This window comes from Homo sapiens, chromosome 8 (genome assembly GCF_000001405.40).
Source record: "Homo sapiens chromosome 8, GRCh38.p14 Primary Assembly".
NCBI lineage: Eukaryota > Metazoa > Chordata > Mammalia > Primates > Hominidae > Homo > Homo sapiens.
This window is the reverse complement of record NC_000008.11, coordinates 1,593,028-1,609,267: the sequence shown is the minus strand read 5'-3', so window position 1 is coordinate 1,609,267 and position 16,240 is coordinate 1,593,028. Positions and strand designations below refer to the sequence as shown.

Here is a 16,240-nt window from a genome sequence, read left to right as displayed (position 1 = left end):
TGGGTTGAAAATTCTTTTCTTCAAGAATGTTGAATATTGGCCCCCACTCTCTTCTGGCTTGTAGGGTTTCTGCCGAGAGATCCGCTGTTAGTCTGATGGGCTTCCCTTTGAGGGTAACCCGACCTTTCTCTCTGGCTGCCCTTAACATTTTTTCCTTCATTTCCATTTTGGTGAATCTGACAATTATGTGTCTTGGAGTTGCTCTTCTCGAGGAGTATCTTTGTGGCGTTCTCTGTATTTCCTGAATCTGAATGTTGGCCTGCCTTGCTAGATTGGGGAAGTTCTCCTGGATAATATCCTGTAGAGTGTTTTCCAACTTGGTTCCATTCGCCCCATCACTTTCAGGTACACCAATCAGACGTAGATTTGGTCTTTTCACATAGTCCCATATTTCTTGGAGGCTTTGCTCATTTCTTTTTATTCTTTTTTCTCTAACCTTCCCTTCTCGCTTCATTTCATTCATTTCATCTTCCACTGCTGATACCCTTTCTTCCAGTTGATCGCATCGGCTCCTGAGGCTTCTGCATTCTTCACGTAGTTCTCGAGCCTTGGTTTTCAGCTCCATCAGCTCCTTTAAGCACTTCTCTGTATTGGTTATTCTAGTTATACATTCTTCTAAATTTTTTTCAAAGTTTTCCACTTCTTTGCCTTTGGTTTGAATGTCCTCCCGTAGCTCAGAGTAATTTGATCGTCTGAAGCCTTCTTCTCTCAGCTCGTCAAAGTCATTCTCCATCCAGCTTTGTTCCGTTGCTGGTGAGGAACTGCGTTCCTTTGGAGGAGGAGAGGCGCTCTGCGTTTTAGAGTTTCCAGTTTTTCTGTTCTGTTTTTTCCCCATCTTTGTGGTTTTATCTACTTTTGGTCTTTGATGATGGTGATGTACAGATGGGTTTTCGGTGTGGATGTCCTTTCTGTTTGTTAGTTTTCCTTCTAACAGACAGCACCCTCAGCTGCAGGTCTGTTGGAATACCCTGCCGTGTGAGGTGTCAGTGTGCCCCTGCTGGGGGGTGCCTCCCAGTTAGGCTGCTCGGGGGTCAGGGGTCAGGGACCCACTTGAGGAGGCAGTCCGCCCGTTCTCAGATCTCCAGCTGCGTGCTGGGAGAACCACTGCTCTCTTCAAAGCTGTCAGACAGGGACATTTAAGTCTGCAGAGGTTACTGCTGTCTTTTTGTTTGTCTGTGCCCTGCCCCCAGAGGTGGAGCCTACAGAGGCAGGCAGGCCTCCTTGAGCTGTGGTGGGCTCCACCCAGTTCGAGCTTCCCGGCTGCTTTGTTTACCTAAGCAAGCCTGGGCAATGGCGGGCGCCCCTCCCCCAGCCTCGCTGCCGCCTTGCAGTTTGATCTCAGACTGCTGTGCTAGCAATCAGCGAGATTCCGTGGGCGTAGGACCCTCCGAGCCAGGTGTGGGATATAGTCTCGTGGTGCGCCGTTTTTTAAGCCGGTCTGAAAAGCGCAATATTCGGGTGGGAGTGACCCGATTTTCCAGGTGCGTCCGTCACCCCTTTCTTTGACTCAGAAAGGGAACTCCCTGACCCCTTGCGCTTCCCAGGTGAGGCAATGCCTCGCCCTGCTTCGGCTCGCGCCCGGTGCGCGCACCCACTGGCCTGCGCCCACTGTCTGGCACTCCCTAGTGAGATGAACCCGGTACCTCAGATGGAAATGCAGAAATCACCCGTCTTCTGCGTCGCTCACGCTCTGAAGTCAATTTTCTAAAGGATATATTTACACAGGCCCGATGTCTTTCTAAAAATCTTATTTTCCTCAAATTGCTTTATATTTCAACTGTGAAATGTATTTCTAAGAAAAGATAGCAATATTGTGCTAAGGAGTATAAATTAGATTTCCTTTGAGAAAGGACAGTGACTTAAACGTCAGAACAGATGTGATGAGCATTATGGAAATCCTCCAATCATTTGTCCTCCAGGATATGGGTGTCAGTATATCCATACTGATGAACATACACATTTTAAGATAGATGAAAAATCTGCTCTTGCTATAAAACTGTGTCTCTGTAAATCTTTAGAGATTAAAGAATATAAGTCAGATTTTAAAGAATGATGGATAATTTTTATATAAACATATGTATATGAAAACAATACAATAATATAATGTTACATATGCAACTAATTTATGTTATTTAATATTATATGTAGTACAGCCACTTTGAAAAACAGTCTGGGAGTTCCTCAAAAGGTCAAACATTGAGTTATCAAGGACCCAGCATCTCCACTCCTTGGTATATGCCCAGGAGAAATGAAAATGTGTGTCCACATAAAACTCATACAGGAGGCCGGGTGCTGTGGCTCACGCCTGTAATCCCAGCACTTTGGGAGGCTGCGGTAGGTGGATCTCTCGAGCTTAGGAGTTTGAGACTAGCCTGGGCAACATGATGAAATCTCGTCTCTACCAAAAATACAAAAACTTAGCTGGGTGTGGTGGTGTACATCTGTGGACCCAGCTACTTGGGGTCACTGAGGAGGGAGGATTCCTTGAGCTCAGGGGGCGGAGGTTGTAGTGAGCCGAGATTGTGCCACTGCACTCCAGCCTGGGCAACAGAGTGAGACCTCATCTCAGAAAACAAACAGAATAATGGTCATAGCAGAATTATTCATAATAGCCTCCAAAAGGAAACAACCTAAGTATACATCCATGATGGATGGGTAAATAAACTGTGGTCTATCCATACAATGGAATATGCTTCCATCATAAAAAGAATTGCAGTTCTGACACATGCTGCAATGTGGATCAATGTTGAAAACGTTATGCTAGAAGCCAGACACAAAGATACAGTATTGTGGGGTTCCATGGCCACGACAGGGAGAATGCAGGTTCGTGGTTGCCAGGGGTTGGAGGAGTTAGGGGAAGTGGGGAGTGACGGTACAGGGTTTCTTTTTGGTGTAAAGTTTATGTTCTAAAATGGATTGCACTGATGTTCGCGCAAGTCCATAAATAAACTAAGAACCACTGAATTGTACTTCAAGTGGATGAATTGTATGGTTCTTAAATCATAACTCAATAAAGGAGGAAAATAAGATACGAAGAGCACTCTATTTAGCTTTATGTCATCTGAAAGTTGAAATGAACCGTACGTTCAGAATGTAGACTTGAAGCAAATTTTCAAAAAAAACCCACTGGTACCTTCAGTTCGTCTTTTCTCTTGGGCCTCAAGGAAGGACAGTGAGGGAGCTCTGGGGCAGCAGAGTTAACGATAATTCATTTTCCACAAATACTTTCATTCTTCGCCTCTGATTTGGTGCTGGTTATGATTCTCTGCGGAAGGTATTATAATTAACCTTGCTTTAACAAGAAGAGAAAGTCTTCACTCAGAGGTGACACGTTCTACAGCACGAGCTCGAGCTGAGATTTGAGCCTGAAGACCTTCTGATTCCAAATTTGGCATGTGTTGCTTTTGTGGCATATTTTAAACATTTGCCATGGATTATTACAACTATATGATAAACTAATAATTCAGACAAACACGGAAATGAGTCAACAGTTTACTTCCAGAGTGGGGAGCTGCTGGCTTCGGTTCTCACCCCATCATGGACGCTGTGGGCTCGGACAGTTAGCAAACGCTGCATTCTCTGTTTTCTTCCTTATAACAGGGAAGGTAACATCAGCGGGATCACAGATTTGCTGGAGGGGACAACCATGGAAAGGGGCAGGGTATAAAAGTCTTTGATTGCTAATTGAAAAGATTTCATCCTAAAGAGGCACTTAGGCCCACAAGAATGTAGCACGTTTCTAAAGCTCATGCACAAAGGACAGGCCGCACTCACTAGAGCCCTGGATTCACGCATTCACCAGAGACTCTTGTGATCATCTGCTTCCTTCAAGTCACGAACAGAAGACGTCAGGGGAATATGGAGACCACTTTGCTTCTCAAGCATCTCAGAGGCACGCACTCTGAGAGCCCTGCTGTATCACTTGTGTGGCGACGGAAGTGCGAATCAAGTAGGTAACCATCTTCGGCTCAAATTGGTCCACTCCCCTGAGTAGTAGGGAGCTGTGTCCAGAACACAGGAGTGGAGGTCAGGAGGTCCGGATCTGGGGCTTGCATTCGGTTCTGTGCATCCTCACCGTATGAACCTGGGTAAGTCACGGATGTTGCTCACCCACTGTTTCCTCTTTCGGCAGTGGAAGCAATGATGGTGCCTGGCCTGCATCCTCAGGGGCCGATGAGGTCAGGTGAGCCGATGGCACCGAGGTTGGCTGCAGGGTGGTGTGCCCCGCCTGGCTTCTGGTGCTGTTGCTTCTAACAACAAAGCGACTGCACTATCTTTATCCTGTTACACCACAAGTACTCCACACACGACACAAGACATCAGACCTTTTCTGCAGCAGCTCCTGGTAGATGCTAAGCTCAGCGATTCTAACGGCTGGCCTATCACAGAGAAGCTATGATTCTGCCTGTGGTATCTTCATTATTATTTACATCTAAGCCATTTATGTTTGAGTTTTTTTTTTAACAAGTACATTGCTTTTTTCTTTATAAATATTTTTGACTGTTGTCACTTTACATTTAAAGGCTGGTGTCGGAGCAACAAGAAGACATTCATTGGATGGTTTTGCAAATCCCAATCTGGATCACAGTCTCCTGCGTGCTTGCATGTAATGTAGATTCCTGGATCACGGTCTTCCGCATGCTAGTATGTAATATAGATTCCAGGATCACGGTCTCCTGTGTGCTTGCATGTAATATAGATTCCTGTATCACGATCTCCTGAGTGCTTGCATGTAATGTTGATTCCTGGATCGCATCCCCGGAGATGGAATTTAGAAGGGTGAGGTCAGCCCCAAATCCAAATTTTAAATAAACATTCTAGGTGATTCCATTCCTGGTGGTCTATGGGCCAGACCACACTTTGAGAAACATGGATCTATTTGGATGGAGGGATAGGATGCCCCACTGAGGTACTGTTTAGAGAATCTGAATTTTGTCCATTTCATTTGCAAATCATAATGAACACCCTAGTGAAACATCTCTCCCTGGTGTTAGGAGATAAAATTCGTATTTACATTTTCAGCAAACTCCAGTGCATTTATAGCAAGGTCCCTTCTCCCGCAGTTACCTAGCAATGTTTCCAGGAAAATGATTTCTGAATCCATGTCGATAACGGCCATATGTGAACAGTGTCTGCAGTGTCCACAAAATGAAGAAGGGTCATTCATCTTTGTGCCTGTTCACTTAAGTGTCTTTAAGAATGTGTTCTGTCCCAGCTGTGTCTTGGGCATCAGAATGGAAATGTGTGGCCGCAGCTGGCTTGACTTGAGGAGAGGTGCCGACGCGGTGGCTGGGGTATGTGGGGAGGTGGGGGTTGGAGCTGCAGGACTCAGAAAACTCCTCATACGGAGGCAACTTGAGTTTAGTAATTTGCATGGAATCTCACCAAATATTAAGTGGTCAAATATTGAACGGTGGTCTCCTGCCAGCAGGACGCATGGGGAGGATGATGTGGTCAGGTTTAGAAGCCTGCAGATCCCTCCTCAGCCCCAGTCCCTTAGATAAATAATCCCTGAGACAGAAATACTGACTGTTCCAACTACTATGAGCTGGATGCTGAGCCCATCACAGTGTGGAGGAGATGTCATGGCCTTGCTGGCACAACCCAAAAGAATGAAGACCCAGCCTCCACTCTAACCAGCCTCTACAGAACTGAGACCCAGCCTCCACTCTAACCAGCCTCTGCAGAACTGAGACCCACCTTCCACCCTAACCAAGCTCTGCAGAACTGAGACCCAGACTCCACTCTAACCAGCCTCTATGGAACTGAGACCCATCCTCCACTCTAACCAGCCTCTACAGAACTGAGACCCAGCCTCCACTCTAACCAGCCTCTGTAGAACTGAGACCCAGCCTCCACTCTAACCAGCCTCTACAGAACTGAGACCCAGCCTCCATTCTAACCAGCCTCTATGGAACTGAGACCCAGCCTCCACTCTAACCAGCCTCTGTAGAACTGAGACCCATCCTCCACTCTAACCAGCCTCTACAGAACTGAGACCCAGCCTCCACTCTAACCAGCCTCTGTAGAACTGAGACCCAGCCTCCACTCTAACCAGCTCTGCAGAACTGAGACCCAGCCTCCACTCTAACCAGCCTCTGTAGAACTGAGACCCAGCCTCCACTCTAACCAGCCTGTGGAGAACTGAGACCCAGCCTCCACTCTAACCAGCCTCTGCAGAACTGAGACCCAGCTTCCACCCTAACCAAGCTCTGCAGAACTCAGACCCAGCCTCCGCTCTAACCAGCCTCTGCAGAACTGAGACCCAGCCTCCACTCTATCCAGCCTCTGCAGAACTGAGAGCCAGCCTTCCACCCTTACAGACCCCCTCATTCTGTTGAATTTTCCCTCGCGGCACTCGACACCTTTAGGGTGCTACACACTTCACTTTTTATTACTGATCACCTGTCATGTTTACTGCTTATTATCTGTCCTCCTCTGTGACAGCATGGGAAGCATGAGAGCTGTCACTGCCTGCCATGCCCACGACATTGGGGAGCATCTGGAGCAGTGCCTGACACATGGAGGAGCTCAAGAGACACTTGTGGGATGAATAAATGAATGAATGAATAAACTGCTGTCACTCCTGGGAAGGAGGGGCTTCCTTGCTGCCTTGGTGGTCTCTGAGCTGGTAGAGGGTCAGCCTGGAGTAGCTGGTGCCATCTCATCATTGCCTGGGACGGTCTGAATGAAGCCAGTGCAGGTGGGCAGGCCTGAGGCCTGATGCTGGGGTGGCCTGGCCCGGCCTCCGTGGATTCGGGCCTCCAGCCCTGGCTAGCTCTGGGCAACATGGCTGCATGAATCAGTATATTCCCTGTGTGGAATAGGCCTTTCACTGTTAAAGCTGGAGATTCTTAATAATGCCCAACTTTGAAGCAGCCAGGCTGTAAAGCATGTCTGCATTTTTAAAGAAAGACCCCATTTCAGTGACATCGATTCATCAGAGCACACCATTAATTAGAAACAGCAACACTGTCTTACACTTTCTACTAGAATGTCATTAATTAGAAATAACAACATTATCTTACACTGTTTACTAGAAACACTTTTACTCCTCTTGTCATATTGGGCCATTCAACAAACATTAATATCGAATATGTGTTGTGAATGATGCTGGGCATTAAGAACATATACATTCACTCACTCTCTCATTCACATATTTGACAAGTGTGGGCTGAGTGCTTCAATGCAGCTTGCATGGCCCAAGTCTGGGATGCAGCAGGCAGCAGGACTGACAGCTCGTGAGGGATAGAGGCCCCCACAAGCAAGAAGGTAGCACGGGCTGATCACACACACACACACACACACACACACACACACACCCTGTTAAATTAAGGTTTTAGGATCAAAAGTGACTACATAGCTACCTCAGATTGCCTGGTGAAAAAAATGTCTCACTGAACAGGTGCTATTTAAGCTGATATCTCAATGACTAATTATGCAAGGATTGAGAGGAACCATTTAGGGAGAGGAAACAGCAACTCCAAAGACCCTAAGCTACGAGAGAGCTCTGAGCATTTGAGGAAATTAAAGACCAGAGTGGTGAACGAGCAGACCAGGCTTGGTCTCATAATGGAGACGTTTGTGGGCCGAGGCGGAGAGGCTCCATTTTACTTTCAATGTGACAAACATCTGTCACGGAGTTTTCAGGGACTCGGTCTGATCTGTCTGTAAAAAGCCTGTAAAACTGCTCTCTGGGCAGGGCATCTCTGAAAGAAAGGCAGCAGCCCCAGTCAGGGCTTATAGATAAAACTCCCATCTCTCTGGGACAGAGCACCCGGGGGAAGGGGCGGCTGTGGGTGCAGCTTCAGCAGACGTAAACGTTTCTGCCTCTCGGCTCTGAAGAGAGCAGCAGCTCTCCCAGCACAGCGCTCGAGCTCTGCTAAGGCACAGAGTGCCTCCTCAAGTGGGCCCCTGACCCTCTTGTCTCCTGATGGGGAGACATCTCCCAGCAGGGATCAACAGACACATCACACAGGAGAGCTCCGGCTGGCATCTGGCAGGAGTCCCTCTGGGACGAAGCTTCCAGAGGAAGGAACAGGCAGCAATCTTTGCTGTTCGGCAACCTCCACTGGTGATACCCAGGCAAACAGGGTCTGGAGTGGACCTCTAGCAAACTCCAGCAGACCTGAGAAGAGGGGCCTGATGGTTAGAAAGAAAACTATCAAACAGAAAGTAATAGCATCAACATCAATAAAAAGGACGTCTACACCAAAACCCTATCCGAAAGTCACCAGCATCAAAGAACAAAGATAGATAAATCCATGAAGATGAGGAAAAACCAGCACAACAAGGTTGAAAATTCCAAAAACCAGAAAGCCTCTTCTCCTCCAAACGATCACAACTCCTCACCAGCAAGGGAACAGAACCGGACAGAGAATGAGTTTGGCAAATTATAGAAGTAGGTTTCAGAAAGTGGGTAATAAACTCCTCCAAGCTAAAGGAGTATGTTCTAACCCAACACAAGGAAGCTAAGAACCTTGAAAAAAGGTTACAGGAATTGCTAACTAGAATAACCAGTTTAGAGAAGAACATAAATTACCTGATGGAGCTGAAAAACGCAGCATGAGAACTTCGTGAAGCATACACAAGTATCAATAGCTGAATCAATCAAATGAAGAAAGGATATCAGAAATTGAAGCATCACCTTATTAAAATAAAGTGTGAAGACAAGATTGGAGAAAAAAGAACAAAAAGGAACAAACAAAGCCTCCAAGAAATATGGGACAATGTGAAAAGACCAATCCTACATTAGATTAATGTACCTGAAAGTGACGGGGAGAATGGAACCAAGCTGGAAAACACTCTTCAGGATATAATCCAGGAGAACTTCTCCAACCTAGCAAGAAAGGCCAACAATCAAATTCAGGAAATACAGAGAACACCACAAAGTTACTCCTTGAGAAGAGCAACCCCAAGACACATAATCGTCGGATTCACCAAGGTTGAAATGAAGGAAAAAATGATAAGGGCAGCCAGAGAGAAAGGTCAGGTTACCCACAAAGGGAAGCCCATTAGACTAACAGTGGATATCTCTGCAGACACGCTAAAAGCTAGAAGAGGGTGGGTGCCAATATTCAACATTCTTAAAAAAAAGAATTTTCAACCCAGATTTTCATATCCAGCCAAACTAAGCTTCATAAGTGAAGGAGAAATAAAATCCTTTACACACAAGCAAATGCTGGGAGATATTATCACCACCAGGCCTGCCTTACAAGAGCTCCTGAAGGAACCACTAAACATGGAAAGCAAAAACCGGTACCAGCCACTGCAAAAACATACCAAATTGTAAAGACCATCGACACTATGAAGAAATTGCATCAATTAATGGGCAAAATAACCGGCTAGCATCATAATGACAGGATCAAATTCATATATAACAATATTAATGTTAAATGTAAACAGGCTAAATGTCCCAGTTAAAAGACACAAACTGGCAAATTGGATACAGTCAAGGCCCATTAGTATGCTGTATTCAGGAGACCCATCTCATGTACAAAGACACACATAGGCTCAAAATAAAGGGATGGAGGAATATTTACCAAGCAAACGGAAAGCAAAAAAAGCAGGAGTTGCAATCCTAGTCTCTGATAAGACAAATTTTAAGTCAACAACGATCTAAAAAGACAAAGAAGAGCATCACATAATCGTAAAGGGATCAACGCAACAAGAAGAGCTAACTATCCTAAATATATATGCACTCAATACAGGAGCACCCAATACAGGAGGACCCAGATTCATAAATCAAGTTCTTAGAGACCTACAAAGAGACTTAGACTCCCATACAATAATAATGGGAGACTTTCACACCTCACTGTCAATATTAGATCAATGAGACAGAAAATTAACAATGATATTCAGGACTTCAATTCAGCTCTGGACCAAGCAGACCCAATTGACATCTACATAACTCTCCACCCTAAATCAACAGAATATACATTCTTCTCAGCACCATATCACACTTATTCCAAAACTGACCACATAATTGGGAGTAAAACACTCCTCAGCAAATGCAAAAGGATGGAAATCATAACAGTCTCTCCGACCACAGTGCAATCAAATTAGAACTCAGGATTAAGAATCTCACTCAAAACTGCACAACTACATGGAAACTGAACAACTTGCTCCTGAATGACTACTGGGTAAATAACGAAATTAAGGGAAAAATAAATAAGTTCTTTGGAACCAACAATAACAAAGACACAACATACCAGAATCTCTGGGACACAGCTAAAGCAGTGTTTAGAGCAAAATTTATAGCACCAAATGCCCACAGGAGAAAGTGGGAAAGATCTAAAATCAACACCCTAAAATCACAATTAAAAGGACCAGAGAAGCAAGAGCAAACAAATTCAAAAGCTAAGATAAGACAAGAAATAACTCAGATTAGAGAAGAACTGAAGGAGATAGAGACATGAAAAACCCTTCAAAAAAAATCAATGAATCTAGAAGCTGGTTTTTTGAAAAGATTAACAAAATAGATAGACCACTACCCAGACTATTAAAGAAGAAAACAGAGAACAATCAAATAGACACAATAAAAAATGATAAAGGGGAGATCACCACTGATCCCACAGAAATACAAACTACAATCAGAGAACACTATAAACACCTCTACACAAATAAACTAGAAAATCTAGAAGAAACTGATACATTCCTGGAAACATACACCCTCCCAAGACTAAATGAGGAATAAGTCAAATCCCTGAATACACCAATAACAAGTTCTGAAATTGAGGCAGTAATTAATAGCCTACCAACAAAAAAAAGCCCAGGATCAGATGGATTCACAGCCAAATTCTACCAGAGGTACAAAGAGGAGCTGGTACCATTCCTTCTGAAATTATTCCAAACAATAGAAAAAGACGGACTCCTCTCTAACTCATTTTATGAGGCCAGCATCATCCTGATACCACAACCTGGCAGAGACACAACAAAAACAGAAAACTTCAGGCCTATATCCCTGATGAACATGGATGCAGAAATCCTCAATAAAATACTGGCAAACTGAATACAGCAGCACATCAAAAAGTTTATCCACCACGATCAAGTCGGCTTCATCCCTGGGATGCAAGGCTGGTTCAACATATGCAAATCAGTAAACATAATCTATCACATAAACAGAACCAATGACAAAAACCACATGATTATCTCAACAGATGTAGAGAAGGCCTGCAATAAAATTCGACACTGCTTCATGCTAAAAGCTCTCAATAAACTAGGTATTGATGTGAAGTATCTCAATAAGAGCTATTTATGACAAACCCACAGCCAATATCATACTGAATGGGCAAAAACTGGAAGCATTCCCTTTGAAAACTGGCACAAGACAGGGATGCCCTGTCTCACCATTCCTATTCAACATAGTGATGGATGTTCTGGTCAGGACAATCAGACAAGAGAAAGAAATAAAAGGTATTCAAATAGGAAAAGAGAAAGTCAAATTCTCTCTGTTTGCAGATGACATGATTGTATATGTAGAAAACCCCATTGTCTCAGCCCTAAATCTCCTTAAGCCGATAAGCAACTTTAGCAAAGTCTCGGGATACAAAATCAATGTGCAAAAATCACAAGCATTCCTGTACACCAATAACAGACAAACAGAGAGCCAAATCATGAGTGAACTCTCATTCACAATTGCTACAAAGAGAATAAAATACCTAGGAATCCAACTTACAAGGGATGTGAAGGACCTCTTCAAGGAGAACTACAAACCACCACTCAAGGAAATAAGAGAAGACACAAATAAATGGAAAAACATTCCATGATCATGGATAGGAAGAACCAATATTGTGAAAATGGCCATACTGCCCAAAGTAATTTACAGATTCCATGCTATCCCCATCAAGCTCCCATTGACTTTCTTCACAGAATTAGGAAAAAAAAAACTACTTTAAATTTCATATGGAATCAAAAAAGAGTCCATATAGCCAAGACAATCCTAAGCAAAAAGAACAAAGCTGACAAAGAACACCAGCTGACTTCAAACTATACTACAAGGCCACAGTAACCAAACAGGATGGTACTAGTATCAAAACAGATACATAGGCCAATGGAACAGAACAGAGGCATCAGAAATAACACCACACATCTACGACCATCTGATCTTTGACAAACCTGACAAAAACAAACAATGGGGAAAGGATTCCATATTTAATAAATGCTGTTGGGAAAACTGGCTAGCTATATGCAGAAAACTGAAACTGGACTCCTTCCTTACACCTTATACTAAAATTAACTCAAGATGGATAAAAGACTTAAACATAAGACCTAAAACCATAAAAAGCCTAGAAGAAAACCTAGGCAATACCATTCAGGACACAGGCACTGGTAAAGACTTCATGACTAAAACACCAAGAGCAATGGCAACAAAAGCCAGAATTGACAAATGGGATCTAATGAAAGTAAATAACTTCTGCACAGCAAATGAAACTATCAGGCAACCTACAGAATGGGAGAAAATGTTTGTAATCTATCTATCTGACAAAGGGCTAATATCCAGAATCTACAAGGAACTTTAACAAATTTACAAGAAAAAAAAACCTAACAACCCAATCATAAAGTGGGTGAACGATATGAACAGGCATTTCTCAGAAGAAGACATTTATGAGGCCAACAAACATATGAAAAAAAGCTCATCATCACTGGTCATTAGAGAACTGCAAATCAAAACCATAATGAGATACCATCTGATGCCAGTTAGAATGACGATCATTAAAAAGCCAGGAAACAACAGATGTTGGAGATGATAAGGAAAAATAGGAACGCTTTTACACTGTTGGTGGGAGTATAAGTTAGTTCAACCATTCTGGAAGACCGTGTGGTGATTCCTCAAGGATCTAGAACTGGAAATACAATTTGACCCAGCAATCCCATTACTGGGTATATACCCAAAGGATTACAAATCATTCTACTATAAAGACACATGCACATGTATGTTTATTGCAGCACTATTCACAATAGCAAAGACTTGGAACCAACCCAAATGACCATCAATGATAAACTGCATAAAGAAAATGTGGCACATATACACCATGGAATACTATGCAGCCATAAAAAAGGATGAGTTCATGTTCTTTGCAGGGACATGGATGAAGCTGGAAACCATCATTCTCAGCAAACTAACACAGGAACAGAAAACCAAATACTGCATGTTGCCACTCATAAGTGGGAGATGAACGATGAGAACCCATGGACACAGGGAAGGGAATATCACACACAGGGGCCTGTTGGGGGGTGGGGAGCTAGGGGAGGGATAGCATTAGGGGTTACACCTAATGCTAAATGACGAGTTAATGGGTACAGCACACCAACATGGCACATGTATACATATGTAACAAACCTGCCCGTTGTGCACATGTACCCTAAAACTTAAAGTATAATAATAATAAAATTAAAAAAAAATTACTATTAAAAAAAGAATAAAATACATTTCAATTTCATTTAGCACTTAGTTCAGACTACTAAATAAATATTTATAGTTAAAAAATAATAATAGGCAGGGTAGTGGTGAATTTGGGAAGAAGGGAGTAACTGGGTGGGGAGCTCGCTGGGGGCTTCCGGAATGACCTATTTCTTTTTTTTTTTTTTTTTTGAGACGGAGTCTCGCTCTGTCGCCCAGGCGGGACTGCGGACTGCAGTGGCGCAATCTCGGCTCACTGCAAGCTCCGCTTCCCGGGTTCACGCCATTCTCCTGCCTCAGCCTCCCGAGTAGCTGGGACTACAGGCGCCCGCCACCGTGCCCGGCTAATTTTTTTTTTGTATTTTTAGTAGAGACGGGGTTTCACCTTGTTAGCCAGGATGGTCTCGATCTCCTGACCTCATGATCCACCCGCCTCGGCCTCCCAAAGTGCTGGGATTACAGGCGTGAGCCACCGCGCCCGGCCGACCTATTTCTTGACTTCAGTATTTGGGAGGATTTTTGAGGTGGGAACCTATTGTTTCTTCTCTTTTGTATGTTATTTATGTTATTTGTCAATAAAAAGTTTATATATATTTAAAAAAAGCCCGTAAAACCTGGGAAACATGGCAAAACCCTGTCTCTCCTAAAAATACAAAAATTAGCCAGGTGTGATGGCAGGTGCCTGTAATACCAGCCACTCGGGAGGTTGAGGTGGGAGAATCGCTTGCACCCGGGAGGTTGAGGCTGCAGTGGGCTGAGATGACGCCCTGCACTCCAGCCTGGGTGACAGAGCAAGATCTTGTCTCAAAAAAGAAAAAAAGAAAAAAAAAGAAACCCCAGGAGCTGTTGTGTGGAGGACAGTGTGTATGGATTCAAGATGGGAAGCGGGAGGCCAGTTAGTGGAGTGACCCCACGATGGTCCTGCTGACAGCTGGAGACCCCAGTGAGTGGCAGGAAGAAGTCAGAGGTGGGACAGAATTGGCTGTGCCCAGGGGGCATGGCTGGCAGGAGGTAGAGCACAGAGAAAGATCAGGGGCAGGAATGAGTGTTCGACTTTTAAAATGTTTAACTTTTTTTTAAAAAAACTATATTTTTGGCAGTTAAACTCTAGTTCTATTAGTCATTATAAGAGAGTGTGACCTGGCCGGGCGCGGTGGCTCACAACTGTAATCCCAGCACTTTGGGAGGCCGAGGTGGGCAGATCACTTGAGGTCAGGAGTTCAGGATCAGCCTGGCCAACATGGTGAAACCCCATCTGTTTGGTGATTTCCCGTAAGTTCTGTAAGCTTTCTTCACTCTTTTTATTGCTATTTTTTGCTGTCCTGATTGAATTATTTGTAACGATGTTGTCTTTGAGTTCACCGATGCTTTCTTCTGTTTGATCTGGTCTGTTGTTGAATCTTTCCAGTAAAATTTTCAGGTCAATTATGTTCTTCAGCTCCATAATTTCTGTTTGGCACATATTTAAAAAATATGTCCTGTCACTTTACTTAAATTCTCATTTTGTTCCTTCATTGTTCTCTTGACCTTAGGGGGCATCTTCATATCCCTTGTTTTGAATTCTCTGTCGAATAAATCATATAACTTCATTTCACTAGGGTCAGTTTCTGGAGATTTGTTTTATTTCTTTGAAATATCTTTGCCTGAGTTTTCATTTTCCTTGACTTTCCGCACTGGTGCCTTTCTCAGTCTTCATGACCTTGTCTTATACATGAGAAGACCCCCACCAATCATTCAGAGATTCTGAGGGTCTCAGCCAATTCTTTCCCTTCCCAGAGAGAAGAAGGTAGCTGTGGTTTTCGCCTGTTTGCTCTGCCTGAATCAGGGAAGAACACCATCGCATCTACTAGTCTAAGCTGTCATCTCTGTCCTCCCCTATGTGGCTGGACTGCTGGACCCAACAGAGCTCCAAGACTGGAAGGCTTGGAAGGTAGATGCCAGTTCTCTGTGCAACCCTGAAGAAGCTGAGGTGTGGGATGCATGGATCACCTCTTTCCTCTTCAGTGGGAAGCTGAGAGATGGAGTTCTTGTTTGCTTATTCTGTGCTGAGGAGGGAGAGGATCTACGGCATCTACCAGCCATGCCACTGTCTTCATTCTCCCCCAGGCAACCAGAGTGGGCCAGACTCCAGCAGGCCCAATGCTTGCAGGTCAGAGGCCAGACTCTGGGAGCTCTCTTGGAAAAGTTGGGGTGCTGGATGTGCTAACTGATCCTTCCCTCCCCTGGGAGAAGGTAGAAGCCAGGGGGTCTCTTCCTGATTGTAGGGTGCTGTGCCAGGGTAGGAATTCTTGAGAGAATCTCCCGAGCATCTTTGGTAAGTCTGGTTTTGTATTTTCCCAAGGTGCAGGAGATTTTCAATTAGTGTCATTTATTTATTTATTTATTTTTATTTTATTATTATTATTATTTTTGAGACGGAGTCTTGCCTTGTCGCCCAGGCTGGAGTGCAGTGGCGCGATCTCGGCTCACTGCAAGCTCCGCCTCCTGGGTTCACGTGATTCTCCTGCCTCAGCCTCCTGAGTAGCTGGGACTACAGGCGCCCGCCACCACGCCCAGCTAATTGTTTTGTATTTTTAGTAGAGACGGGGTTGCACCGTGTTACCCAGGATGGTCTCAATCTCCTGACCTCATGATCCACCCGCCTTGGTCTCCTAAAGTGCTGGGATTACAGGAGTGAGCCACCACGCCAGGCCTAGTGTCTAAATTTTTGTAAAGGGAATTTGTCCACAAATCATTGTTGAACGGCTGTGTTTGTTGAGGGGAAGGAGGGCCCAGACCTTCCTACTCCATTATCTTGTTGAAATCACTCCCCAAAAGATTTTTACTATTGCAATGTAT

General features: G+C 44.2%; 1 protein-coding gene and 1 long non-coding RNA gene across 2 annotated transcripts in view, besides 2 other annotated features; one reads left to right on the top strand and one right to left on the bottom strand.

Moving 5' to 3' along the window:
* DLGAP2 (DLG associated protein 2) overlaps window positions 1-16,240 on the bottom strand; it is a 970,849-nt gene that overhangs the window by 99,209 nt on the left and 855,400 nt on the right. The window lies entirely within an intron of this gene.
* DLGAP2-AS1 (DLGAP2 antisense RNA 1) overlaps window positions 1-16,240 on the top strand; it is a 56,156-nt gene that overhangs the window by 12,397 nt on the left and 27,519 nt on the right. The window lies entirely within an intron of this gene.
* Window positions 964-1,517: an enhancer, noted in NCBI's record as "NANOG-H3K27ac-H3K4me1 hESC enhancer chr8:1555917-1556470 (GRCh37/hg19 assembly coordinates)". NCBI's record gives its function as "activates a minimal SCP1, AML or CMV promoter by ChIP-STARR-seq in naive H9 embryonic stem cells {active_cell/tissue: H9 hESC(naive)}" and the evidence as "EXISTENCE:reporter gene assay evidence [ECO:0000049][PMID:30033119]".
* Window positions 3,315-4,514: an enhancer, noted in NCBI's record as "CDK7 strongly-dependent group 2 enhancer chr8:1552920-1554119 (GRCh37/hg19 assembly coordinates)". NCBI's record gives its function as "activates an origin of replication core promoter dependent on BRD2, BRD4, P300/CBP, MED14 and CDK7 cofactors, with strong dependence on CDK7, by STARR-seq in HCT116 cells {active_cell/tissue: HCT116}" and the evidence as "EXISTENCE:reporter gene assay evidence [ECO:0000049][PMID:35650434]".